This window comes from Homo sapiens, chromosome 4 (assembly GCF_000001405.40).
Source record: "Homo sapiens chromosome 4, GRCh38.p14 Primary Assembly".
In the NCBI taxonomy this organism is placed as follows: domain Eukaryota; kingdom Metazoa; phylum Chordata; class Mammalia; order Primates; family Hominidae; genus Homo; species Homo sapiens.
The window spans coordinates 3,244,060-3,270,911 of record NC_000004.12 but is presented as its reverse complement, the minus strand read 5'-3'; the positions used below and the strand labels follow the sequence as shown (position 1 = coordinate 3,270,911).

The window sequence follows — 26,852 nt, the reverse complement described above, 5'->3', positions numbered from 1 at the left end:
AATTGAGATGGACAGAGACCCAGATGTAACCACAGCTTCTAGAATACAATATGGGAAAATATCTCCCTGGCCTTGGTGAAGATTTCTTAGGACACAAAATGTTTTAGCCATAAAAAAAATTAGCTAAAATTTGATATTATCAAAAGCAAAATCTGCCCAATTGAAAGACACCATTAATTCCACTTTCCACCAGGATGGAGTGACAAGCTCTGGATTCACCTCTCCTCCATCCCTGCTTCAAATGACTGGAAAACTGGACAGAACATGGGGAATGACTGTTTCCGGGCCTTGGACTGTAATTCTAAGGACAAGAGGAAGGAGTGAGGGCGCCTTCCGTCTGAGGGCCTGGGGCTCCCCCGGCTTGCAGATTTGCTCAGAGTGGAAGGTCTTGGTCAGCCCAGGCTGCCGAGGCCCAGAGTGGGTGGGCTCCCCAGAGGGCACAGTCTGAGGTCGCAGGCTCAGCTCCAAGCCCTGAGGCTGTGGCTGTGGGGCAGGTGGACCTGGGGCTGCATTGCAGGGGTAATGGGCTGGCCTCGGGGTCCAAAGTCCAGGACACAGGTCTCCTCCACCTGACCAGGACGGTCCCATTTTCTCCCTTACAGGCAGCTGCTGAAGGTTCACCCAGGGCCTGCCTCCCGCAGCCCACACCAGGTGCCCCGGCTCCCTGGGCACGGCTCCCACATGGAGGCTGGCGCCCACTCAGGGCCCTGCTGCAGCCGCTCGGTGGAGCGCTGCTATTCTTAGCTGTAACCTAAGCAGCTGCCCATTAAAATTCCATTAGTTTCGAAGGCTGAGCGGCAGTTGATATTTCTAATTATCATGAAATTAAAATTGTCCCTGTAATTTAATGATAATTGCACAAGATGCCAGCTGGCACCCTGGGGAGCCACACTGTTCCCGAACAAAACTTGGAAAGTCTCTTGAAAGTTCTTTGAACAGGAAAAGACAAAGGCGTTTTGGAAAATGAGGGAGGTGGGGGGTCAGCCCCGTGGTTGAATCCAAATTCCGAGCGTGAATGGGCTCTCCAAACTAGGGCCTCTGCGCCAGGCGGCCGGGCGGGGAGCAGGTGGGCTGTTGGGGGAGGCCGGACTCCAGACCCCACCCGCCCTGAGCTGAGGATTAAACAAGGGAATAAGTCAGGAGTCTAACCCTGCGGGGAACTAAGGAACACGTGGTCAGTGCAGCACTGTGGGGAAGGTTCTAGAAGCTGGCAGAAGCCCTCTGTGGGGTGGAGGGGCGGTGCCTGCAGGAGGAGGAGCAGGAGGAACCCGCTGCCCCTGTGCTTCCCCTCCCCGCTCCCCTTTCGCAGGTGAGAACAGGGTTCCCAGGCGCACCTGGGAGCTGTGCTTGTTTCAAAGCCGCTCCCCAGGGGTGCGAGGCTGAGAGGTGCTCGCAGAGGACAGAGCCCCAGAACCTGGACCCCGAGCAGTAGGACAGAGCCAGCCCCTAACAACCCTGCGTGGCAGGGCCGAGCCAGCACAGCCCAGTGCCTGGCTCCACTCCTGGCCTCCTTCCTCCTGACTTGGAGACCCTGTGCAGGCCTGGGGCATGGGGTACATGGGCCACAGCCTGGGACCCTGTGTCCTCCTGGGTGGCCCTGCTGCTGTGGGGTCCTGACCTCACCCCACCACGTTGCAACCCTGGGTGTGGGGTCAGAGCCAGTCTAGGGCTGAGCAAGACCTGAGCCCTGCCCTCCCCTCCTCAGGGCCCTTCCCTTACTCACCCGTGCTGCCAGGATCTACAACCAATGCCAGGCTCCCAGGCTGCCCTGCCCTCCTCATGGACCTCCACAACGCCACCCCTGCCTGCCGCCCCCATCTTCCCCTCCTTGAGGGCCAACCCACAGCCCCTCCCCCACAGGCCCAGTGTACCCAGACCTGATCTACGCTGGCTTGAAGGCAGGATGGGGTCAGATTTGACTCTGTGTCCGCAGAGTCCGGTGACTGGACAGTCCCCAGATCTGGGGCCCCGTGGAGCCTGGTGAAGTGACAATGGTGTGTGCCTAGGACTGGACCCCTCCTGCAATGTCGGCAGCCTGGGGACAGCCCTGCAGAGCTCAAAATCACACCGGCTTTCATAGCACCCCACGGGCAGAGAGCGCTCCCTAGCCCAGCTGCAGCTCCTGCCACCCCGCCCGCTGGCTGTGCCCCAAGGCCATCTCCTTCTTGGGGAACTTTGCTGACAGTGGCACCACATTCTGAAGGTTTTTCCTGCCTTTCTCCTCAGGCTGCCCTCCCGGCCTGTGGGTGGTCTGCTGGCCCAGGAGGCCCAGGTGACAGTGTGACCCCACGTTTCCCACCACATCAGCCTTCCAGCCTGCAGCAGGTGGAACCTTACCTCCTCCCCACGCCCCATTCAGCAGCCTCACGAGCCAATGCCATGCTGTAGGAGTTGAACCTGTCATTTTCAACACTCCCTCCCCTTTTGGGCACTAAATTCCCTCTCAAAAATTGCATTTGGCTTCAAACGTGGAAATAACGCTGGCATGGTTGGGAATTTTATTTCTGTCTCCCACAGAAGCAGCCAGGCCCAGGTGACAGCCCACAGTGCCCTCAGGCCCCTCCGCTCTGGTGGGCGTGGCCCTCACCCTCAGGACTGCCTCAGGGCCCTAGAAGGCCGATGGAGAGCCAGACACCTCCTCCACCTCGTCTGTTTGCGCAAGAAGCAATATGGAAAGGAAAAGCCTACCTGCCTGCCCCTTTAAGGCAGTTTGCCAGATTTGGCAGGAACTTCTTCAGGTATCTCACTTGTCTCATGGGACCCTGCAGGCTCCTAGATAAGATTGCTGGATCCCTGCAGCTGGCTGCCCCGGCTGCCGACCTCTGTGCACCTCAGGGCGGCCTGAGGTCAGGGCTGGTCAGCAGGGCCCGGCAGGAAGGAGGCTGCACACAGCAGGAGGAGCCGACAAACCGGCACCTGCGGGATGCCTGCATCCCTGTCTTGCTTCTCCTGACCATCAGTGGCCTCTGCCAACCATGGCCCTGACCTCCTGCCTCCCAAATCCCCGCTGCCTCACCTCTGACCCCATCTGTCTGCTCTAGAAGCACACAGGTGGGGATTCTTGGAAGTGTGGGTCCTGGCAGATGGTGTCAGTAGAACACTCCAGAATGTAGCGTCAGAAATTGGCCTTGGACACTCAGGCACAGCACCTGCTTCGAGAAGGAAGAGCAGAGGCCCCTGGAAGGAGGGGCTGGGCAAGGGGTGGTGAGAAAGGGGTGCCCTGGAAGGTGAGGCCCTGCCTGGCTCTCGGGGTGGGGATGGAGGCCCCTCCTCCCAGGACGCTGGGGCTGCACACTTCCAGCCCCATTCAAACGCTGGCCCACAATAACCACTGTCCAGCCTGCATGCTGCTCAAGTGTTGTTACCGCCCATGGTAGCTATCTCACCCTTTTTTTTTTTCTGAGATGGAGTCTCACTCTTGTCACCCAGGCTGGAGTGCAGTGGCGGGATCTCGGCTCACTGCGACCTCTGCCTCCCAGGTTCAAGTGATTCTCCTGTCTCAGTCTCCCGAGGAGTAGCTGGGATTACAGGCATGCACCACCACACCCAGCTAATTTTTGTATTTTTAGTAGAGATGGGGCTTCACCATGTTGGCCAGGCTGGTCTCGAACTCCTGACCTCAGGTGATCTGTCCACCTCAGCCTCCCAAAGTGCTAGGATTGCAGGCATGAGCCATGGTCCGGCCTCTTTCACCTTTTTAAAGCCCTTTTGCTATACAGAAACTTATGGAATATTAATCAAGTTAGACACTGTATTTTCACCGTATGCACTCAGAAAGGCCTCAGAGCAGAGGCGTGCATCTTTCCACGTTTCCTCTAGAAGAGCTCCATTTCTTTGGTGTTTGTTTGTTTTGTTTTTTGAGATGGAGTTTCACTCTTTTTTGCCCAGTGCAATGGCGCCACTTTGGCTCCCTGCAACCTCCACCTCCTGGGCTCAAGAGATTCTCCTGCCTCAGCCTCCCGAGTAGCCGGGATTACAGGCGTGTACCACCATGCCTGGCTAATTTTGTATTTTTAGTAGAGACGTGGTTTCTCCATGTTGGTCAGGCTAGTCTCGAACTCCTGACCTCAGGTGATCCACCTGCCTGGGCCTCCCAAAGTGCTGGGATTACAGGCTTGAGCCATCATGCCCGGCCAATATCTCCACTTTTTTTTTTTTTTTTTTTTTTTTTGAGACAGAGTCTCGCTTTGTCGCCCAGGCTGGAGTGCAGTGGCGCGATCTCGGCTCACTGCAAGCTCCGCCTCCCAGGTTCACGCCATTCTCCCGCCTCAGCCTCCCGTGTAGCTGGGACTACAGGCGCCCGCCACCACGCCCGGCTAATTTTTTTGTATTTTTAGTAGAGACGGGGTTTCACCATGTTAGCCAGGATGGTCTCGATCTCCTGACCTCGTGATCCACCCGCCTCCGCCTCCCAAAGTGCTGGGATTACAGGCGTGAGCCACCGCGCCCGGCCAATATCTCCGTTTTTTACATGAGCCTTTAATCCACCTGACACCAACTTTGAATAAAGAGCCCATATGGAAAGCCACGTGCGAGGTTGTACAGGTCCTTATTTTTTGCACCAGCACACCTATGCACCGCTAGACATGAGGGTGACCCTCGTGGCGAGCTGGGCTGTCCCCGTGTGGCCGCGCGTGCCCCACACTGTTTGTTCTGTGGCAGCGCCACGTGGCTTTGAGTGCTGGGAACTGACATAGGTTTCTCTCCCTAGTGAACCGGCCTGGGGCCGCTGCTCCTCTTTTCCTTTATTTTCTTCCACAAGAAGCTTAAAATCATTTTATCCCACTTTCCTTTTCAGGTTCAGCCTTTTAAGTCAAGCCAAGGACCCACTACTTGTTTTTCTGATCCTCTCCCCTCCCAGCCTCGCCTCCGACAGCCACGGTGTGCGTTGCTCCCCTCTATGTCTATGCATTCTCATCACTGAGCTTCCACTGTTCAGATGTGCCAGGCTCTACTTGGAATTACATTTACATCCTGCCTCGGGAGCTTGGCATTTTCTTCTTATCCACCCACACAAGAACATGGCAAATCTCCTTTTCTGTTTTTGTTTTGTTTTGTTTTGTTTGAGAAAATGTCTTGCTCTGTCACCTAGGCTGGAGTGCACGACACAATCTCAGCTCACTGCAGCCCTGACATCCCAGACTCAGGTGATCCTCCCACCTCAGCCTCCAGAGTAGCCAGGACTACAGGCATGTGCCACCACGCCTGGCTAATTTTTGTATTTTTTGTAGAGACAGGTCTTGCTATGTTGCCCAGGCTGGTCCCGAACTCCTGGGCTCAAGCGATTCACCTACCTCGGTCTCCCAAAGTGCTCGGATTTCAGGTGTGAGCCACCGTATCTGGCCTGTTTTGTACTTCTAAAAAATCGGGTTTTGGTATTAAGGCTTTGATTGGTTCATAACATGAATGGGGACATTTTTCTCTTTTTTAGGATCTGAAATTATTTAAATAGCATCTTGAGGAGGCATTCTGACAAAATCTATTAAAAATCTAAATGCATCCTCCTTTGATCCAGAAATTCTGTATGTAGGAATAGTACAAAAATATTTGCTACTGATTCCTCAAGAAGTTAAATATAGATTTACCATACGACCCAGTAATTCCACTTCTGAGTATTCCCACAAGCACTGGACGTAGGGTCTCTAAGAGACATTCGTACACAGCCCATGTTCATGACAGCACTACTTACATTAGCTCAAAGGCACAGCAACTCGAGTATCCAACAAAAGATGAATCAAGGCCAGAGACGGTGGCTCACACCTGTGACCCCAGCACTTCGGGAGGCTGAAGTGGGCAGATCACTTGAGCCCAAGAGTTCCAGACAAGCCTGGGCATCATGGCGAAAACCCGTCTCTACAAAAAATATAAAAATTAACCGAATGTAGCAGCGAGCCCCTGTAGTCCCAGCTACTGAGGAGGCTGAGGTGGGAGGATCACCTAAGCCTGGGGGGGTCGAGGCTGCAGTGAGCTATGATGGCACCACTTCATTCAGCCTGGGTGACAGAGTGAGACCTTGTCTCAAAAAAAAAAGAAAAAAAGAATGGATAAACAAAACGTGGTGGAAGACAGTGGAATATTACTCAGCCTTGAGAAGGAAGGAACCTCTGACATGTTACAGCATGGATGGGACATTATGCCGAGTGAAATAAGCAGCACAAAAGGACAAATATTGTGTGATTCCACTTATATGAGGTCCCTAGAGTAGTCAAATGCACAGACAGAAAGAGTGGTGGGTGCCCGGGGCTGGGGAGTTGGGGAGATAATGGGACTTTGTGTTTAAGGGGGACAGAGTTTCCATTTGACAAGATGAGAAGAATTCTGTGGAGGGATGGTGGTGATGGCTGCATAACGATGTGAATGTATTCGATGCCACTGAACTGTTCTCTTCTAAATCGTTAAAATGGGCCGGGCGCGGTGGCTCACGCCTATAACCCCAGCACTTTGGGAGGCCAAGGCGGGCGGATCACTTGAGGTCAGGAGTTCGAGACCATCCTGGCCAGCATGGTGAAACCCCGTCTCTACTAAAAATACAGAAATTTGCCAGGCGTGGTGCTGCGTGCCAGTAATCCCAGCTACTCGGGAGGCTGAGGCAGGAGAATCGCTTGAACCCGGGGGGCGGAGGTTGCAGTGAGCTGAGATCGAGCCACTGCACTCCAGCCTGGGGGACAAGAGCAAAACTCCGTCTCAAAATAAATAAATAAATAAAATAATTAAAATTGCAAATTGTATATTGAGTGTATTTCACCACAACAAAAAGAATATGAGGACATGCTAAAGACTTTAAAAATATCCACTTTCTAAAAAGAACAATACAGTTGAAAGATTTATTAGACCAGGTTTCAAGACTTACAGTAATCAGGAAAGTGTGTACTGACGTGAGGACTGACATCATTATCAATGGACAGGATGCAGACTCCAGAGCGGGCCCGACACATCCACAGGCCATCCATCTTCAAGAAAGAGTCCAAAGCCACTCCATAGCGACAGGACACCCTCTTCTACAAACGGTGCTGTAACAACGGGATATCTGTGTGGAAAAAAGTAAATCTCAACCCGACCTCACGTGTAAGCCATTTGTAGCCTGACTTTCCCTTTCCTGTACAACTTTTCGTTTCCCCTAGAGTTATAAGTGTTTTGTCTCATCCTTCAAAACTCACTAGTGTACACAAGTACACAGAGAGACATCCGCTGCACCACGGTTTATTGCAGAGAAAGCCTGGAACAGTCTCTCCATCAGTAAGGGACCCACGAGATGACTGTGCCTCCACACACTGGAATCCGATTCTCCCGTTCAAGAGGAGGAGGGCATTCTGCCAGCATTAACAAGAAGCAAACCTTTTTAACGCAGGTATATTGCCGAAAATGGCAAGGTTCAGAGCAGCAGGTACTTGTGCGAGAAAAGCCTGGGCAGGGGACAGACGCACACTGTGCCAGCGCTGGTTCTTAGCGGCAGATCAGGCAGGCTGGCATGAGCTGAAGGGGGTCACGAGGGCGAGCAGCAGCTCACACAGTCTCTGTGAGATCGGACTCAGGCTGAGAGGTGCACACCCTAAAAACCGTTTCCAAAGGAGAACTTCCCAGTGCTGGTGTAGCTTAGTTCCAAAGCTGCAGGGCTTCCTCCGTGACCTCCTAGGAAGAGCTGTCCAAGACCCCAGACATCCCCTCTGCCCAGCACGCCCGGCAGCAGGAGTGCACGGCTCACGCCGCAAGGGCAGCCCAGAGCCCCGCAGAGTCTTCTCTCGCCCTGGGCACACCCTCAGCTGTAGCCTGTGGGCTACCTGGAAAAAGGATCAGGGAAAACATCCAAATGAGGCCCAAGTGTGGCTCCAGCCCCAAAGGCGTTCCCCAAACGTCACAGCCTTTCTTAGGGAGTGCAAGGTCGGGCACTTGGCCCCAACGGGGAGGGCAGACCTGAGACACGTGTGGGTTTTACCACGCTACCCAGCATACCCACTCCCTCCTGTCCTCTAGGTCCTCTAGGGGGTAAATATGACATTTGTGGGGGACGAGGCGCTCAAGGTCTGGACATGGTGGTGCAGAGCAGGAGAGCAGATTAGCCTTGACGGAAAGCAGTGAAGCTGAGCTAGTGCCCAGCAAGGCGGAGATAAACAGAGGGCAGCGAAAGGCACCAGGTGGACTGCTGCATGCAGGGCAGGGGCTGTGCAGGGGTCCCACTTCCCTGAGCTGAGGGGAGCCTGTGGTGGTCCCTGCACAAGCCACGGATGTACCAGGAATTCACATGTGCGCAGTGTTCACGGCTTGGCTGGTCATGTCCCTCACAGATGTGTCAGTTCTTGGCTTCTATTTTAGAAGGTAAGGCGGTCCCCAGGGGCTTCCAACTGGCTTTTTCTACTGTAAGATGCTCGTGTTCTAGGGGTAGGGTGCCCTCTCCCTCCGGACCCAGCTGAGATGAACTTGGGCTGAAACCACAGGCAGCACCTTCTCCCACACGCTCCACCTTGCGTGCCTCTCGCATGTTCTGAGTCCTGGAGATGGCCACGAGCGCAAAGCCAGCACACAGAGGTTCTGGTTTTTCCCCATGCCCGGGCAACAGCCAAGGCCTGTGCCAGTCCAACCATTCTATCCTCCCCTAGGCCAGGATGCCTCCTGAGCACCCCTCACCCACCTCCCAGGCTCCACGCCACACCTGACCCTCCCTGCTCCGGGACTCTCTTGTCCCAGCAGAAAGCAGGGTGTCCCTGTCCAGGCCCACCTCGCCCTCAGAGCCAGCTCCCACCTAGACAGTGCAGCTCCCAGTGCTCAGGTGAGGGCGCCCCTCCCACTCCATCCGCTCACATGACATTTTTTGAAGGCCTTTTCTCTCACCCCACGGCTCCAATCCCCCTACAGCCTTATTTCCCTGGAAAGCACCTCTCTTCTAACATACTAGACACTTACGTGTTTATTGTTGGTCTAGCCCCACCCTCAACTCGAAACCCTGTAAAGACAAAGATTTGTATCTGCTTTCCACCTGACCCTATCCCCAGTGCCTACAAGACAGCAGGGAGTCCCTCTGGGCCCGCTTGGGGGCACGGTTCCCACACGCTGTCTGTGATGACGCCACCCAGTCACACGGAGGGCCCCTTTGTGTGACAGCGCCCGTGCGTCCACCAATCGCCAGTGAGCCAGCTCTGGGTACCGGGCAAGGACAGACGAGGCTCGCTCAGGTCACCTGTGTGCCCGCTCCAGCATTCAGGCAGTGGTTCTCAGGTCTCGGCCTGTGGGTCACCAAGGGTCCCTGAGGTTGCAGCTGCTTTCATCATAGTCTGATGATCACGGGGTCTTCACGGGGTCTTCACGGAGCTGACATGCGCACTGATGTGGCAAGACCTGAGCAGGAACGCAGGCAGGCCCCGAGCCCCGGCGCAGCCCTGAGGGGTTTTCGCACCGCACAGCTGCAGTGTGAAACGCCGGTCACTTCCAAATGTCCGTGATGGAGTGAAAATGGTCGAGTGTGTGAGGTCTTGACCCCTGGGTCCACATCTTTTCAACGTCCTGCCCGAGCAACTGGAAGGCGCGCCTGCCCCACGTCCACGCTGAGGAAATGCAGGTGTGCAATGGGCTGAGCTGCCGTCTGGATCTGGAACACACGTATGGAGCACACTTTTTACTCAAAAAAAGGATGTGCAAAAACTCTGGTTGTTCAGCCTTGGGTGTCCTGGCAGACTTTTTTTTTTTGGAAAACGAACAAAGTGAGCCTGTCTCATTCAAAGAAAATAGCTGACAGCATTTGTTACCAATGATAAAATTCAAGCTTTCATGCAAAAATCAGAATTCTGAAAGACACCACCATGAGTTCACCACCTTTCCAACTGAAAGACTTTTCTAAGATTGGTGATATCGCCAAAAGTGATTTTAAAATACTGATTAAGGAACTGTGTCAGCATTTGGAATATCCGCATAACTTAGTGAACCAAAGGCCCAGCGTGTGAGGTCACAAAGGCATGATGGACAGAGTCCTTGAAGCACAAGACGGACCAATGGATTCTCCTGAAATGAAGTAGAAGTTCATTGATAGGGTATCAGATTCCACACACAACCGGCCAGTAAAAAACCACCACCTGTCGGCCGGGCTAACACCTGTAATTCCAGCACTTTGGGAGGCCGAGGCGGGTGGATCACGATGTCAGGAGATTGAGACCATCCTGGCTAACACAGTGAAACCCCATCTCTACTAAAAATACAAAAAATTAGCCAGGTGTGGTGGCGGGCGCCTGTAGTCCCAGCTACTCAGGAGGCTGAGGCAGGAGAATGGCGTGAACCCGGGAGGCAGAGCTTGCAGTGAACCCAGGAGGCGGAGCTTGCAGTGAGCTGAAATCGCGCCACTGCACTCCAGCCTGAGTGACAGAGCGGGACTCCGTCTCCAAAAAAAAAAAACAAACCACCACCTGTCCAGTGTTGGAATAGGATCACGGAAGAATATACCGATTATTTGCAAAGGTTATTAAAATGTTCCTTTTCTTTTCAAATACACATCTGGGTAAGAATGAGCTTCTCCATTCACTCCTATACTTCACAACCAAAACACCCCCAAAGTGGACGGACCCAGAGCCTGCTGAGAGGCCAGTGGGCTTCTCTTAAGCCAGAGATTTACGACCATGTAAAACTATGCCACACTTCTCCCGAAAACTTTTTGTTTTGGAAAATATATTTTTCATACAATTGTTATTTATGTTAATATGTCATGGGTTTATTGCTATTTTGAAATGAATACATGTTTTCTAAAGGTCTCAGGTTTAATTTCTAATAAGATATTCTAATGTGTATTAATATTGGTCATTAGAACTCACATAAGCAAAAGTTCTTTGGCACTTTTAATGAATTTTATTTTATTTTATTTTTATTTATTTATTTATTATTTTTTTTTGAGACAGAGTCTCGCTCTGCTGCCCAGGCTGGAGTGCAGTGGAGTGATCTCAGCTCACTGCAAGCTCCACCTCCTGGGTTCACGCCATTCTCCTGGCTCAGCCTCCCAAGTAGCTGGGACTACAGGCGCCCGCCACCACGCCCGGCTAATTTTTTGTATTTTTAGTAGAGACGGGGTTTCACCGTGTTAGCCAGGATGATCTCAATGTCCTGACCTCGTGATCCGCCTGTCTTGGCCTCCCAAAGTGCTGGGATTACAGGTGTGAGCCACCGCACCTGGCCCACTTTTAATGATTTTTAAGAGCGTTGAGGGGTCCTCAGACCAGTTTGAGGACGGCTGCCGCAGGGTGGCCTGTCTAGGAGTGGCACTGACCAGAGGAAATGCGTTTCTTCAGCTTTAGGACGGGACACCAAATTGCTCCTGGAAGCGGCTGCACCACATCCCACCAGCAACGCAGGAGTCTCCATTTCCCGACGTTCGTCCTGGCCTCCAGCAGCCACATGATCTCAGTCTGCGGTTCCAACTCCCCGACTCCGAGGGAGGCCGAGCGGTCTTCTCACGCTGACTGGCCTTGGACTTTTGGCCCCGTTCTTTTTTCATATGAATTTAAACATCATCGCGTCCATGTCAAAACCAAGAAGTGATATTATTGAGACTATGTTTGGAATGACATTAATAAAATGATGACATTGACTTTGGAGCTTTCAGGAGTGTGCGAAGTTTCTCCAGCGCTCAGGTATTATTTAGATTTTTCAGTAAGACTGCATAGTTCTCTTCAGTAGAGGTCCTGTTCCTTCTGGGTTAAATTCATTCCAACTCTGAATGGGATATTTCTTCATCCTCATTTTCAACAAGTTTAAGCTGGTTTAAAGAGCTCCCAGTCTTTTGTACATTTGGCTTTCTGGGTATACAAAAATGAAATCTGAAAACAAAGGTAACTCTACTTTCTTCATTTCTTATCCTGCTTATTTTATTTATCTTTTTTTAATTTTTTTTTTTTTTTGAGACCGAGTTTCACTGTCACCCAGGCTGGAGTGCAGTGGTGCAATCTCAGCTCACTGCAACCTCCGCCTCCCGGGTTCAAGCGATTCTCCTGCCTCAGCCTCCCAAGTAGCTGGGATTACAGGCATGCACCACCACGCCCAGCTAATTTTGTATTTTTAGTAATGACGAGGTTTCTCCATGTTGGTCAGGCTGGTCTTGAACTCCTGACCTCAGAGGATCCTCCCGCCTCAGCCTCCCAAAGTGCTGGGATTACAGGCGTGAACCACCGTGCCCGGCTTTTGTTTATTTATCTTAATGCATTAGCTAAAAACGTCAAAACAACATGAAATACTACAGGTGAAAAGCAAGCACATCTGCCTGGCTCCTGATTCTAGTTTTCAATGTTAACATGCTGCTTTGCTGAATCTTATCAAATATTTTAGCAATGGCTGAGATCATTTTTTTTCTCCTTAATGGACCAACAACTAAGGAAGAAATCAGAAAGTTGTTAAGGACATGCTGCTGATGAAAGGCACCAACCCCACGATATTCTACAGCTGAGTTCTGCTGACATGAGGCGATGCTGCTCCAGCCTGGAGAAGGTCGGGCAGCGCCTGCCCCTTCTCTAAGGTGATGGAAGGGCATGAATCACTGACTCTGATTAGAGAGGGCGAGAAGAAAACAGACCAAACCACTTCTAACCCAAGCACAGCAGCGACTCGCGGTGTGCTGTCCCGGATGCCTGGCAGTTACTGAAGTACCGGTGCGTCATGGCTGACTCTACAGCAGTTTCAGGGTGAAGAAGTTGCTACATCATTTAGAACCTCCATCTGTTATGTCTTGTGGGAGCGTCCAGCCTAACCTTCCTGCCAGGGCCGCGGGCACCCTTCCCTCTCGAGGGCTTGTGACTGGCTCCCTGTTAGGAGGCTGGGGAACCCCACACTGGCCCCATGGGAGCTGCTAGCCAGCCTCAGTGGTCAGCAGCTGGGGGCAGGTGCCTGTGTCATGGCTGGGTTCCCAGCATCTAGGGTGGCACAGGTGTCCAGTTGGAGCCCAGTGTGTTTGTTAAGCAAATGATTTCTTGGGTGGTGTCTTGCCTACGAGGCGGGTGGGTCCCGGAGCTGGAAACTGGCTAGAGCAAAAGCTCCCAAAACTCAGGCCCGCATCAGATGTGCCCGCATCCTCTGTCCTCCTGGGGCCACCCTTCCTTCTGCTTCTCGGCAGGTGCTATGGCAGCCACACTGGCTTGCAAGAGCTGGCTCTGTGCATCTCTTCTCAACCACAGGGTCAGCGGCGTCATCTGGCAGCTGGAAACTGGCACCGTAGCGCTGGCTGCTGCTCCCTCCTCCCACCACTGCCGCCGCTCCTTACACCCTCACGACACTCTGCCTCTCATCCCACAGCAACATGGGCCGAGTCCTCGGCACACAGGCTCTGGGGAGATGGCTGAGGAGGGTGGGAGCTCCAGGACCCTCAGAGTGAAGTGAATCCTGCTTGCCCAGCTCCCCTTTGGGCTCCACAGAACACGCCGGCCTCTCCTTCACACAGGCAGGCCGAGGGCACCCTCCACACCACCATGGTCCACAGGCTGGTCCCACACCCAGTGGAGTCCAAGCTGCTCTCTTGCCTGGCTGACCTCAAGACCCCCTAGAGGGTAGGATGAGCTGCTGCTGCTTGTCGCAGGATGACTGCAGCACTGCCTGGCAGGATGCCTGCTGCCACACCTGCCTCTGCACCTGTCTCCACGGCCTGCTCGCTTGGCAGCCAGAGGGAGATTTTTCTGAACCCTGAGTCAAACCATGCTGTTCACCTGCTGACCCACCTGCCAACAACCTTCTATTTGGGCAGCAACTTGCCTAATTCCAGGAGGTGACTCAAACACACCTGGCCCCAGCCTCCTTTGCAGCCAGGGCAACCAGACGCCCGAGTCCCGGCCAAGGAGGCTCATAGAGAATTCAGCTTTGGGAAAGCTGGAGCTTCTAGAAAGAGTTTGAAACTGGTGGAAGGGCCGGCAGTGAGGTGAGCTTGCAGCTGTGGCCGCTCCACCACCCCTCTGTCCCCCACCGATGTCAGACCCAGAGCTGCACTGGCCAAAAGACTCCCACTAAGCTTGAAAAGCATGAACACTCCTCCCCACGGGCTGCACGGGCTTCCGTGGCCTGGCTGCTGGCCACCAGCCTCCTAGCTGCTCCTGGGCTTGCTCCAGTGTCCTCTGCCTCTGGGCCTTCGCACTGGCCGTTCCCTGTGTGGCCACTGTTCCCAGCTCCACGTATGTCTGCCTCCGTGTCCTCAGGCCAACCCCTCCCTTCCAGCACTTATCACAACCTGCAACCATTTCTCTACTGACCCATGTGTCTTCCCCGCATGGGAGCATAAGCTCCAAGAGGCCAGGGCCTTTGTGTCATCCACCATGATATCTCCAGCACCCAGAACACTCAACAGGGCTGTGCATGTGAACAGGTGTTACGACTTTTATTAGTGTCATTGCTAAGGAGGCAGTGGAAACACCTGATGCTCCAAACAGAGCTGAATAAAAGCCTCCTGGAAGGTCGCTGGGGTTTTCATCAGGCGTCAGAGGCCATTTAAGGAGAGACGCAGAGGTCCTGGTGAGGGAGGACACAGGGTTCCCTTCAGGAGAGAGCTCCCCCAGCTCCAGCCTGCCCCAACCCGTTTCCATCTGCTTTCATTTTCGGGATCCATCAATCAGGGCATCCTCACCAAGCCAGCAACAGCAAACTGTGCGTTCCAGGCAAGAATGAAAAAGTATACGTTTAATATCAAAGCCACGTCAAGTATCATTGATAGTAACGACACTGGAGAGTGGCTCTAGGACGTTCTTACTCGGAGTGAACCCCAGAGGCCCTGGCCTGTGTCCGAGGAAGGGCATTCATGCTGGAGACTGGAGCCTCACGGTCCCCAGGGCCTGGGGGTTCCTCAAAATACCCCTCAGAAGGGACATCCTGCCAGAGGCCAGGTGGAAGGCGGTCTCCGCTCGCGGGGCGGCCCCCTTGCCCGCCTGGCCTGAGTGGCCTGCCCTGGGTGGCCTGAGCAGTACCACCAGCCGCCCGGCCCCGCCGCCGCCGCCGCCTGCTGGCCTAGACGCTGGACTTGGTGATGATCCTCTCCAGCAGACTCATCATGCGCTCCTGCAGCTGCAGGCTCTGCACCTGCAGGATGTGCTGCTGGTCCAGCACGCGGCGCACCTCGCGGCAGGTCTCCTCCACGGCGCGGCTCAGCCGGCGCTGCTCCTCCACCATGGCCTCCAGCAGCCGCAGCTGCTTCTTCTGCAGGTGGCAGCTCTGCACCTTGCGCTTCTTCACCGGCCGCTCCTCCGACCTGGAAGGACAGTGCCGGCTGTGGACGTGCTGGCCACAGAGCCTGGGCACACCAGGGGCCTCACCGGACCCTCCCGACAATCCTACTGGGCAAATGGGGAAACTGAGGCCCCAGGGAGTCAGGTCACTTACTCAGGGTCTCATATTCCATGTGCAAAGGAGGGGCCAGAACCCACCGCCTTTGACAGAAAGTAACAGGGGTGGCCGGGTGTGGAGGCTTATGCCTGTAATCCCAGCACTTTGGGAGGCAGAGGCAGGTGGATCACCTGAGGTCAGGAGTTCAAGACCAGCCTGGCCAACATGGTGAAACCCCATCTCTACTAAAAATACAAAAATTAGCCAGGCGTTGTGGCGGGTGCCTGTAATCCCAGCTACTCGGGAGGCTGAGGCAGGAGAATCGCTTGAACCCACGAGGCGGAGGTTGCAGTGAGCCAAGATCGCGCCACTGCTCTCTGCACAAGAGCGAGACTCCGTCTCAAAAAAAAAAAAAAAGAAAAAGAAAGAAAGAGAGGCCACAGGCATTGCCGTCCTTTGCGACTAGCGGATGACCCCAATGACCAGGGTCCCAGGACAATCCACACCCCTTCGGTCTGGAAAGGGTGGGATGTTCTGGGCTGCAGAGGGGCATATCCTGCCAGGGAGCACCCTTCACCCACCAAACTGGGCAGGTGGGGGCTCAGCCCCAGTTGGGGGCCAGGGGTGGAGAGACCACCCCCAGGGAGAGATGAAGGCAGGGGTGGGGGGTGCTGGGTAGTGCAGAGTACTCAGGACCCCTGTAGGGAAGCCAAGACCACCAGCCCCACCCGGCCTTAGGCAGATGGGGAAACTGAGGTCCCAGAAGGAAGGGCCTGAGATGTGAGCCCCCTTATCTCCCGGCGGCCTAGAAATGGGGCCGGCACACCTTGGTAGAGAGGCAGAAGGACAGGCACCTAGAGGGTGTGGGGCCCACAAGAGGCCTGGGCTCTCTCCCCAGGACCTCAGAGCTCTGGTAGAGGTGGTGAGTAAAGGCAGTCCAGCCCTGTGGGCGCCTCCTGAGAGCTCTGCTGCTGGGGTAGGGGCCACCCGTGGTCTCAGCAGACCTCCCTGAAGGGCAGGGAGCTGCCAAAACCCACAGACCCCAGGGCCCTGCTCCAGTGCCTGCTCATCCCTGGCCCACACTCTGCTCTGAGCTGAGAGGGTACAGCCAACCTCAGGGGCGTGAGATCCGCGCTTTGGGCCTGATCAGGGAGGGCAGCCCCCACGCCCCAGTCCTGTGCAAGGCCCCAGGCAGCTGAGTCTGAGAACTGGGCTCAGTCCACGGGAACAACAGCCACAAATCTCAGGCCTCCTGCTGGTTCCTTCTAGCTGCCAGCAAAAGCGTTTTTGTCTCAGGTCTTCAATGAGAAATCCTGAGTCAAGCAGCGGCCCCCGGCATGAGAGGGACCCTCCTCGGAGACGCCTTCTCTACTAAAGATACTTTTCTGACACCTCCTGTCAGAAAGACTTGAAGACCAGGGCAGGGGAGAAGCTGTGACTCAAATCCACAATCTTCCTGTTCTTGCCTCCAAATGGCCAACTTCTATTTTACCTTGAAAGCCCACCCCAAATGTCCCCTCCTCAAAAGCACCTTCTCTGGGCTCCCCAGGCCCACCCCGCAGGTGTCTGTCCTGCATGCTGCCTGGCTCCCGGCTGCCCTGTGAGCATCTTGCAGGCACAGTCACGTGGCCAGCACGGGACGGGTCTGAGGTGTGGGATGGATGGCAGAGGGGACGGGTCATGCCCACGGCAACACGTGATGAGGTGCAGCCCGACACCCTCCCCAGTGCTGAGAGGGCAGCTAGCCTGTGAGGGTGGGGTCTGTGTGGGCTAAGGGAGGCCAGGGGGCGCATTCTGGGGTCTGGGGCTTGGTCTCCCTCCGTGTGCCGGGCCCCATGCTGCGTCTTCTCTCCTGTGATGCTCCCAGCCACCCTCTGAGAAAGGTACTGATTTACCCCCATTTTATAGGAGGGAGACTGAGGCCAGAGAAGTCAAGGAACTTTCCGTGCAGCTCAAAAGTGATGGAGCTGGGAGACAAACTCGGTCTGCCTGTGGACACTAAAGCCCTCCCTGGTCTGAGGCCGCCTGTCCCTGGAGGCGCTGCCCGCAGCCACGGCCTCTGCAACCACTGTGGCCGCCGCCGCCGGCCTTGCCACTCCCAGTCCCTTTCTCTAAATGGTGGGGGCTGAGATACCCCAGGGCAGGGGAAGGACAAGCAGACACACTACCTGAACTTAAGGGACAGTAAGCTGGAGGAGCTGTCGGAGCGATCATCCTCGAAGCGGCCTTCGTAGGAGCACTGGTTATACGGGAAGTACAGAGGGGTGGACTTAGCGGGCGGCGACAGGGACGCCTCGGTCTGGGACGTGGAGGGCCCCGGCGGCTGGCTGTCCGGCAGTTTGCCATCACAGGACTCGGGGACCTTGGCCAGAATCCCATCAATGGCTAGGTAATAGGGCCAGTCGGGCGGGGCGGACTCGCTATCTGTCATGCATTTTAATTTCCTGAAACGAGAGACACAAGAGCCAAGGGTGAGAAACAGAGCTGGCCCAGCCCCTGTCCTGCCCAGCCTCAGCAGAGGGGCGCGCCACGCCGGCACAGGCAGGAGCCGCTCTCGGCTGGCAAGGGCCTCCCCAGCAAAATCGGCCAGGCTCCAGGGTCAAGATGACAATGGACTTAGAAAGAAGCTGGGCTTCAGGACCTACACGGGCTCAGATGTTAAAAAGGAAGCACACGTCCCAGTATTACTAAGGTTATCTGTGCATGCTGGGACCTTGGGGCTGGTCCTATTGCTTTTCCCTTGCTTTTCTATAGTTTCTAGACTCTCTGCAATGAGCAAATACTGCTTTTTAAATAATTCATTTTGAAAGGTAGAGTAATAAGGTTTTATTGTAATAATAAGGTATTATAAGATATATAAATATAGTGATAATATTTTGTAATATAATAACTGTGTTGTTCGGGAGAGAATGCCTCAGGGAGCGACAGCCACTGGCGTTAGAGCACAGGCTTCAGTGTCCACAGCCCTGAGTCAGTATCTCATCTCCACACTTTGCTGTGTGACTTTGGGCAGGTTCATTCACCTCTCTGAGCCTCTATTTTTATATCAATGACATAGTGATGATCAAAGTAAGCCCCTCCCCCAGCTACAGGGCAGATTTAATAAAGCAAACAGCAGGCTGGGCTCCCATGCCATTCTTGGTTGAACCTACAGTCTGGGCAGGAGCCTAGATCCAGCGCTACAACCTGCAACCTGCCCAGAGGCCCTGGGGTGGGCCGGATGGGCCCCTTCCCACACTGCCTGATGCCTCATTACCACTGGGACCCCCAGCACCCACCTACTCCTGCAGACAGGTCCTGCCCTGAGAGGCTAAGTCCCCAGGCCTCCCCTGGGCCTCGGCTGCCCTCTGGGAGGTCAAGGCAGGAGACACAGGGCCCCATGGCGGCCAGACAGCTCTGGCCAGGCCAGGGAAGAAGCCACAAGGTGGGGGTGGGGCAGGGGCATCTCTGCCTCACTGGACCCAGTACCTCCTAAGGCCCAGTGCCCACTCCCCACTCTGCCTTTGAGTGACAGAGTGCCCCAAGGCCGGGCTCCAAACCCAACCTGTGCTCGGAGTGGGTGTCTCCTCTCTCCTACTCTTGCTACCTGCCAGGGTGTGGCCATTGGCCGTTGGAAACAATAAGCTGGATTCTGAATGAGGTGCCCCCAGCAAACAGGCACAGCCAGATGGTGAGCAGGGGATGCTGCCCAGGGTGGCACGTGGCTGTGAAGACACCAGCACAGAGCGTGTGAGGGCAGGCGCTGGGTGCCCATCCCTAACCTCTGCCCCAGGCTTCTCTCTCTGCCCTACTTGAGCCAGCCCACTCTTTGGAGAAACGAGAAAAGGCCTATTCTCAGTGTAGGAGGCCCCCAAACTGTACTTCAACAAACCATGCTCCACAGAACCAGCCACCCTCTCAGGCTTCTTCAGCCCAACAGCCTTAATATATAAAGAGTTCTTGTAAAAAAAAAAAAAAGAAAAAGAAAAAAAAAAGAAAAGCCTCTGCTATGGGGAGACTGCGGGTATAAAGAAAAAGGACAAAGATCGAGTCACCCAGCCACAGCTTCCTCTGCTAAGGACTATGTGGCCCTGGGCAAGTCCCTCTCATGCTCTGGGCCTCAGCTTCCCCCTCGGTGAACTAAGGCTGACTGTGGCAGCTCTGAGGGGCTGCGGTGTGGAAGTGCTTCATCAGCCATGACGTGCAGTGCACCGGTGCAGCCCTTGGCCAGCCCAGACTGCAGGGTCTGGAGTGGAGGCCCCCACTCTGCTGCACCCTCATCTCTCAGCCTCCAGGAATGGAGACAGAAACCCTCCCCTGGGACTCTGAAGAGGCTTTCAGCATAAATAATGAATAACCTGGCCAGACACCAACCAGAGCCAGCCAGGGAGGTGGTGCCCGTGAATTCCTGAGTCAGAGGGGAGCCTGCTGGAACAGTCGTGGCCACCTCCCACTGCCCTCTGCGTCCCTTCCTCACCAGGTGCCTGAGCAGGACTAGGAGGCCACGGGAACAGTGGGGCCGCGGGCAGCTGCCTGTGTCCACCGAACCTCTGAAGATACCCAGGCTCACACCTCAGCCCTCACGTCGCAAGCCAGCCGCTCAAACCCAACATCCGTCATGCTCAGCACCCTAGGTCCCGGCTTTGGGGCCTGCCTAGGGGCCTTTGGGCAGGGCCAGGCCCCGGACCCCTCCTTCAAGGCTCAGAAAAAATCAAATCAACGCAACTGAAAGCGGAGACCTCACAGGCTGGCGGTCTGTCCGGGGCCTTGCTGGGCCTCTTCCCCACTCCCACTAGGGCTGGGGACTGGGGGTTCCCTTCTGCTGTGCTGGAGGCCGGCTCCTCGCCTGAGGGGGGCAGTGGGGGTGGCCTCTCCCACAAGTGGCTCAGGTGCTCTCAGCCTCTCTGCCCCAGGCTCACCTGCCTGACCCGGAGGTGGAGCAGCTGAGTGAGGCCACTCCCATCCTGGAAGCTGACAGGCTCTCCGGCAGCCCCAGGCCCAGCCCTGTCCAGGCCGCCCACAGGGCCGGGTGCTCTCTGCTGCCATTCTCCCCCTGCAGCTTCCAGCTCTTGCTGCCACCCTCGCTCCGTGCAAGACCCTCCCCACACCCAAAACCATCACCCCACACCTGTGACCTTCACCGCACACCTATGACCTTCACACCCTGCAAGACCCTCACCGCACCTGTGACCTTGCCTGTGCCTGAGACCTTCACCCCACCATGACCCCTGCCCACCCGGGACCCTGTCCTAATGGGCTGGGGACCCACGCACTTTAAGATGCTGGGTGTGTGGGACCACACCTGTCCCCTCCTAGACGCCAACATCTCCCTGGCTGGGTGGTCCCCTCCGGCCTTCCCTGCAGGTTGCCAGGGCAGGAAGGGCCCACCTGCCATGTAGCAGGAGCAGAGGTGGGGCCAGGCCGGGAGCCCCCACGCTGGGAGTCCTGGGCCAGGGCAGGCCTCCACCTCTTTCTTCTTCGCACCGTAAGCCCCACCCATGCGCTGGCTGGTCCTGCACCTCACCTGGTGATTTCTGGAAATACCCCACCGTGACCCTAGGGCCAGCCCCAGTGGGGCTCACCGGCTCATGGCAGAGGCTCAGTGGATGCTCCAAGTCGCAGAGCACTGAGCCTCCTTCTCACTTGCAGTCTCAATTTCCCCAATGACGCAGTAGGCCCCTGAAACCCCTGCTGAGCTTGGGAGCTTGGTGGTGGGGAGGGCACTGGCAGCCGCCGCCTCCCTATGGGGGAGCAGGGTGTGAGGTCAGTGGGCACCACCATGAGTGTTGCTGCCTCCGAGGGACAGTGCCCAGACCGCCCATACGTCCTGGGAGCCATCCTGGCCTCTGCCCAGCACCAGCCCCACCCCTGCTACCCCTCAGCTCTTAGACTGGTTTCCTGCCCTTGCTGGGCCTCAGTTTCCCCACTTCCCCAATGGAAGGCTGCACACACGGTTTCCGTGGGCCCCGTCTCACCCCGTGGGGTTCTGCCCATACCCGGCCAGAGGAGACCGACAGGCAGGCCACGACCCACACATCGTCCCGACTCAGAGCTCCAAGAAAGTCAGGAGCGGCCCGCCACGCCCGGGCCCGCCCGTCCTGGTGGGGCCCACACTGCCCGCTCGCCCACCTGTACTGGAAGGTCATGTTGGTGATCTTGATCTTGATCTCCTCGCCCAGCCTGCGCTCGCCGGTCATCTCGAAGAGCTTGCTGGCCATCTTCTCGTACACCTTGGCGTTGCGCTTGGTCTGCTTGAGCTCGTCGAAGAACTCCTCCCAGACCAGCATGAGGCCGCGCATCTCGGCGTCCGTCCAGTTGCGGGCCCGCCGGTGCTTCTCCGCCTGGGGAGACACGAGGTAGCCGGGCCCCTCGGCCGCCGCCATGCCGGAGGCGCCTGTGGGGTGAGAGAGCGCGCTCAGCGAGGGCCCCGGCCCGGCCCCACGCACCATGGGCGGGAGGCGCCGCTCACGCTCGCTCGAAGGCAGCTCCACGCTCAAAATGGGGCCTACATCTGACAGGCAGGAATTTAGTTAAAAGCTTTTAAACGGGAAACGTCATTTTGATGTCACGTTTCCATAGCAACAGAGCAACTGCATAAGCTACAACAACAGAAACCTTTTAACTGAAAGCACAGGAATCAGGGCTGCACTGACGGGCCATCAATATTGCGGCGAGCGGGCCAGGCCCAAACCCAGCGGCCCGGCTCCCGGCCCTGCCTCTCACCGCCGCCCAGGCGGATCGGCCCCCAGTTCAGTGCCGCCCCGGCTCACGCAGGCCAAGAGGGGGCCTCGGGTGGGAACAGGCAAGGAGAAAGGGGGCAAAAGGTGGGAGAAACAGAGAGGACGAGCGACGAGGAGGCTGAGTCCCCCAACGCTGGCCACTGGCCCTGGTGGGGGTCCTGGGCTGTGGGACCCTTAAGCTCCCTCAGAAGGCCCCTGCCTTCTGAACTGGGGCTGGGCCCTGGGGCTCCTGGGTGTCCTGGTCCTGGGGTCCTGGGGCTGGGCCCTCACAAGAACCCCAAACCCCCACCCTTGGCTCCTTTTGCTTCTCTTGCTCCAGCCCCCAGGCGCCCTGGGCCTTAGGTCTGTGGACACTGGAAGCCCGGGTTGGTCAGAGCCAGGCCCTGCCCAGAGGTGCAGACACAGGGTACACAGACACGGGCCTCTGGCACCGGCCGGTGAGGACAGCAGTGATGGCAAAGGTGAGCTCTGTTTGAGACACAGGAGGGAATCAGCCCAGCAAGCCAGGGGGAGGCCACAGGGCACTCCTGGGAAGAGCCACGGGCATGGCAGGGCACAGTCTGGGTACGCAGGGAGCTGATGGGCAGCCAGATTCGGCACAGCGTGCGGAGACGGGGCTCGAGGCCCAGGCTGCGGGGCAGGCCCCTGTGGGGCTGAGGGACTGAGATGCCCCCAGGCTGGCCGGAGGACCACAGCCTGCCGAGAGCCCCAGATGCAGCGGAACCGGAACCGGAGCGGTGGCCTGGGGGTTCTGCCCGGAGAAGTGCCGCCCAAGGGCATCGGCACCCGAAACGTAACACATGCATGTCAGGCAGGGCTCTGTGGAGCCCACGGCACCTGTGCAGCATGGACTGTGCTGGGCGCGGTGCCCAGGCTAAATGCCACTGTGGTCAGCAGAGGGACAGCAGGCACCCCCCTGCCCTCCTCAGGCCTGACCAACTGCAGGAGACTCTCAGGTGTGGGCTGCCCCAAGAAGGGCAGCTGAGCCTGGAATGAGGAGGCATCTCGGCCTCTGCCCGCTGCCCCTGCTGTCCTCTGAGGCACCTTGGAGGTGGGACCGAGGCTCTCAGGGGAAGGACAGGGCAGGGGCATGGCGGGGGTGCCCAGCCCCACTGTGGGTGCCCAGCATAGGGAAGGCGAACTGGGGCTCCCTCTTGCCCGCAGTCAGGATAGGAAGTGTATGGGGAGGGCCCCAGGGATGTGTGAGGAACTCAGAGGGGTCTCTGCACCCCCTACACTGGGTCCCTGGTCAAGGCCTGGCCCCACCATCAGCCCCATGAGACTAGTCCAGTCCCTTCCATCTGGGCCTCAGGAGACATCATCCCTACTGCCTGGCACTGGGGCATCTCCACTCGACTAAGGTCAGCCCTCCGTGCTGGGGGCTGGCACAGAGAGCTCTGTGGAGTGCCTGCAGATGAAGGAGTGACTAGAAGGCCTACCTCCTCTAGGAAGCCCTGGCTCCTCAGGAACAGGGTTCGGCCCTCCCCGGTGAGGTCAGGGACCGGTCCGAATGCCCTTTCCGTAGCCATGACTCCAAGGGCAGAGGTGGGGCTGGCTCCCAGCATCTCTTGGCATCTCCCGGCACAAGGGGTAAGCAGAAAGGCATGGGGTCCCAGCAGTGGTTCTGGGTGCAGCTCTAGCGACTCAGCATGGACCTTAGTCATGTCCTCCCCACTAACCTGTTTCCTCACCTCCACAACAGGGGTAACAGGATCTGACTATATCACCCAGCATGGTGCTGGCTAAGGGGGCACAGCCCTCCCAGAACCCTGGGGAGGTCATGGGGCCTCTACGTGCCCTCTACCCCCTTCCACAAATCCACCTTGGAGCTGCTGGGGACAGCGTCAGGCCTACTGTCCTGGCTGAAGGGGCAGCTGCTGGCCAGTGGACACCACCACCACTGCCGGGGGCCCCCACCGGACGGCTCTAGAGGAGGCACCTACACCCCTGCCTGCCCGAGTTCCAGTGGGCGCAGGGAGGCAGGGCCCTGCCTGGCAGGGTGCCACCCCACACCCGCACCATCCTCCAGGCAGCATTCCCAGGGTAAAAGGCTCAACTCCAACCCTCTCTTCCCAGGCTCAGTGCACATGGGAGGCCCTGGACAGGGCAAGCTCCATGGCCTTTCCCGAGGCAGAGCCCTCACACTGACCTCCAATGTGAGGACAAGAACCAGGCAGGCAGCAGATGGCAGCACCAGGCACCCAGCTGCTCCTGCCTGGGAGGGTCCCCACATCTGTCCCCTGCTGGGGAGGGGCTCGTACCTTGGCAAAGCTGCATGGCCTGCTGGGACCCTCAGTCGCTACGGGGTCTCCTAGGGCCAGAGGCTGGTCAACCAGCAGCACCTGAGGGAGAAGGGGCAGGTCAGGCCTCGGCAGGAGCTGTCCCTGGTGCAGACCTGGGACATGGGCGGGGCCCTGCTGGGCTCAGGCTAGAAGCATGCTCCCTAGGCCTCCATCCCTTCTAAATAATGAGGCTGGGCCCAACTAGACTCTCATCCTGCTCAGCATTTCTGGGTGGATTTTCTGCCCTGCCTGACAGGCCAGCAGGACATGGGGACTGACCAAGGGTGGGGGCAGCAGGGCTCCCAAACACAGAAGCCCAGAGAGGAGGTGGGCGTCCCACTGAGGGGCACCTTCCAGGAGCAGCAGTGGTGAGCACAGCCTGTGCAGATGGGTGGGGATTTGGCAGCTGAGGAGTTCAGGGCTTGGGTGAAGGCAGAGAACCACGTGGAGTCCTGGGCCCAAATCACGGGGGGCCCCTGGGCAGGCTCCGGAGCCTGGACTTCCCCAGAGCAATTGGGGCCAGGAGGGGAAGGATGTGGCCAACACTGCCGCCGCTGGGGCAGGGTAGAAGGTTGGGCGGGTGGGCTGTCCAGAGGGTACAGGGGCCAGGATCCACCTCAGGACCAGCCTGTCCTAGCAGTTTTGGGGGTAGCTGCCTGACCAAGCATGGAGGGCAGGGGCCTGTGCACACAAGGGGAACCCAGACCCACAACTTCAGCCCTCTGCCTCCAGTGATGCCCTGACCCTGACCTCACAGGTCCACAGGGCCCACCCAGGGCCCAGACACCCCCGACCAGGACACCTGGAGGCCTGGTGTAGGGTGGAGAAAGCCGGCCACACTGGCGGGCCCCCCCAGAGGATGTGGCTGCAACAGGACTGGGTCCTCTGTGGCTCAAGCCACTTGCCCAAAAGGCAGCCAGGCTGCTGGGGCTGCAGAGCCTGGGGGACCCGCAAGCGATGTCCACATGGTTTCCCAAAAGAGGTCCTGGTGATGACACAAGGCCGGGTCCACCTCTACCCACAGACACTGTCACGGTGCTCATGGACCAGACTCGTGGGCTCGCGGAGGATGCCTTTCCTCAGGCCCCACTGCAGGCTTCCCTGAGGGGTGCACCCCACACCCCCAGGAACGGGGCTTCCTCTGTCCTCGGTTGGCTGTGTCACATCATGTAGAGGCAAGGCCCCCCTACCCAGTCCCTTCAGTGGCGGCTCCACCCGGTACTCACCTCACCCTGGCTACTTCCCTCATCTGACTTACAGTGCTCCACGCACCACGCAGGGGAAGCGACTTCCAGATCCCAACAAAGCCAGTAGCAGCCAAAATCAAATACCACCGAAGGCACAGGGCACAGCTCGGCAAGGGGACAGGGTGTGCTCTCCGATGAGGAAGAGGAAGGCTGTGTTGAGGGCAGCTCTGCCGTGGCATGGGGAGGGACTGCAAAGCCCACTCACGAGGGGTTCACCGCTGCTTCCCACTGGACCCCGGCCCCTCTTCTTTCTGAAATTACCAGCCATGCCAGGTGTGCTCAGTGTGCCAGGCTGTCCACACCTGGACCAGGGAGAAGGGGGTGCTCCATTTCTCTGAAGTGACCAGAATTTAGGTAGCTCTGAAAGGAGAGGCCACTGGGGGGCCCTGGAGCGGTGTCACCTATGAGGAGACAGATTTAGGGAGCTCAAGTGGCATGCCCCGCCCCAAATGCTTTAGGCCTGTCCACCACATCCCTCCGGCAGACTGATCCCTATCCCTGCTCAGAGAAAGGGGGCCCCCGCACGTGCCCAAGAGGAGCAGGCAGCAGGAGCTGGCCCCTTGGCCGACTGGCCCCCGTCTCTCCTGGCACAGACAGCAGAGCAGGGAAAGAATGGGTGGACGACCCCTGCCAATTAGCCAGAACCAGACGGGACCTCAGCAAACATTGACTAAATACCCTGCACCAGAGGAAGCCACAGGGTTTTTGTTCTTGCAGGTTGGTAAGACATCTGCATCCCAAGATGACTACACCACCAATCACCAAGGCTTCCGAGAGGCTCGTCCGGAGCTTAGAAGCATCCCCGCTGGGCTGAGCAGAGGCTTCTTGGAGTAGGCGCTGGTTCAGACAGGACAAACAAGCTAGAATAGACGGGGCAGGCCCTGCGGACACACAGCAGCCCCGGCCACACCAGAGGTGGGATGTGCCAGCTGCTTTGGGGGTTACCTGGGAGCAGCTGGGCCAGGGACGCAGGTGTCAATGGCCAAGGAGGTGGAAGGGTGGTGGGCCCTGTGAGAACACAGCTCTAGTCTCTGTGCTGGGCCTGATGACCTGCTTCAGTGCCATGGGCCAAGTCCTGAGGCTTGTGTATGTCATATAAGCTTATGATGTCACTTGACCATGAAGGCTCCAGCAGCTCCAGCAGCTCCCACAGCTCCCATCTGCAGGGCAGGAAGACCACCTGTACTGTGGTTTGGGAAGGCCCTTGCAGAAGCACCCAGCCAGGCCCATGCCCTGGGGCCACTTCCTCATCCCTGGCTACAGAAAACACGGGGCCTGTCCCTGCTGGCAGCTGCCTGGGGGACCCTCCATAATGCCAGATGTTAGCTGGTGGGACAGTTTCT

General features: G+C 57.1%; 1 protein-coding gene across 4 annotated transcripts, besides 3 other annotated features; it reads right to left on the bottom strand.

Annotated features, from left to right (window-relative positions):
• Positions 163-700: an enhancer, noted in NCBI's record as "H3K4me1 hESC enhancer chr4:3271939-3272476 (GRCh37/hg19 assembly coordinates)". NCBI's record gives its function as "activates a minimal SCP1, AML or CMV promoter by ChIP-STARR-seq in naive H9 embryonic stem cells {active_cell/tissue: H9 hESC(naive)}" and the evidence as "EXISTENCE:reporter gene assay evidence [ECO:0000049][PMID:30033119]".
• On the bottom strand, positions 14,299-26,639 carry MSANTD1 (Myb/SANT DNA binding domain containing 1). Of its 4 annotated transcripts, NM_001330620.2 has the most exons (6): positions 26,188-26,543; positions 25,489-25,910; positions 24,242-24,322; positions 21,370-21,634; positions 17,430-17,705; positions 14,299-15,187 (listed from the first exon to the last, which is right to left on the bottom strand). In NM_001330620.2, exons 3-6 carry the CDS (start codon positions 24,255-24,257, stop codon positions 14,947-14,949), a joined length of 798 nt encoding a protein of 265 aa, NP_001317549.1. In that variant the 5' UTR covers positions 24,258-24,322; positions 25,489-25,910; positions 26,188-26,543; the 3' UTR covers positions 14,299-14,946. The 4 variants fall into 4 exon arrangements, with proteins under 4 accessions (NP_001317549.1, XP_047271611.1, NP_001036155.1 ...); XM_047415655.1 differs by lacking the exon at positions 17,430-17,705 and having other exon boundaries at positions 24,242-26,639; NM_001042690.2 differs by lacking the exons at positions 24,242-24,322; positions 25,489-25,910; positions 26,188-26,543 and having other exon boundaries at positions 21,370-21,753.
• Positions 19,339-20,235: an enhancer, noted in NCBI's record as "H3K27ac-H3K4me1 hESC enhancer chr4:3252404-3253300 (GRCh37/hg19 assembly coordinates)". NCBI's record gives its function as "activates a minimal SCP1, AML or CMV promoter by ChIP-STARR-seq in naive H9 embryonic stem cells {active_cell/tissue: H9 hESC(naive)}" and the evidence as "EXISTENCE:reporter gene assay evidence [ECO:0000049][PMID:30033119]".
• Positions 24,200-24,375: a silencer, noted in NCBI's record as "fragment chr4:3248264-3248439 (GRCh37/hg19 assembly coordinates)". NCBI's record gives its function as "represses an EF-1alpha promoter that drives an FKBP-Casp9 reporter gene in an ReSE screen in HepG2 liver carcinoma cells {active_cell/tissue: HepG2}" and the evidence as "EXISTENCE:reporter gene assay evidence [ECO:0000049][PMID:32094911]".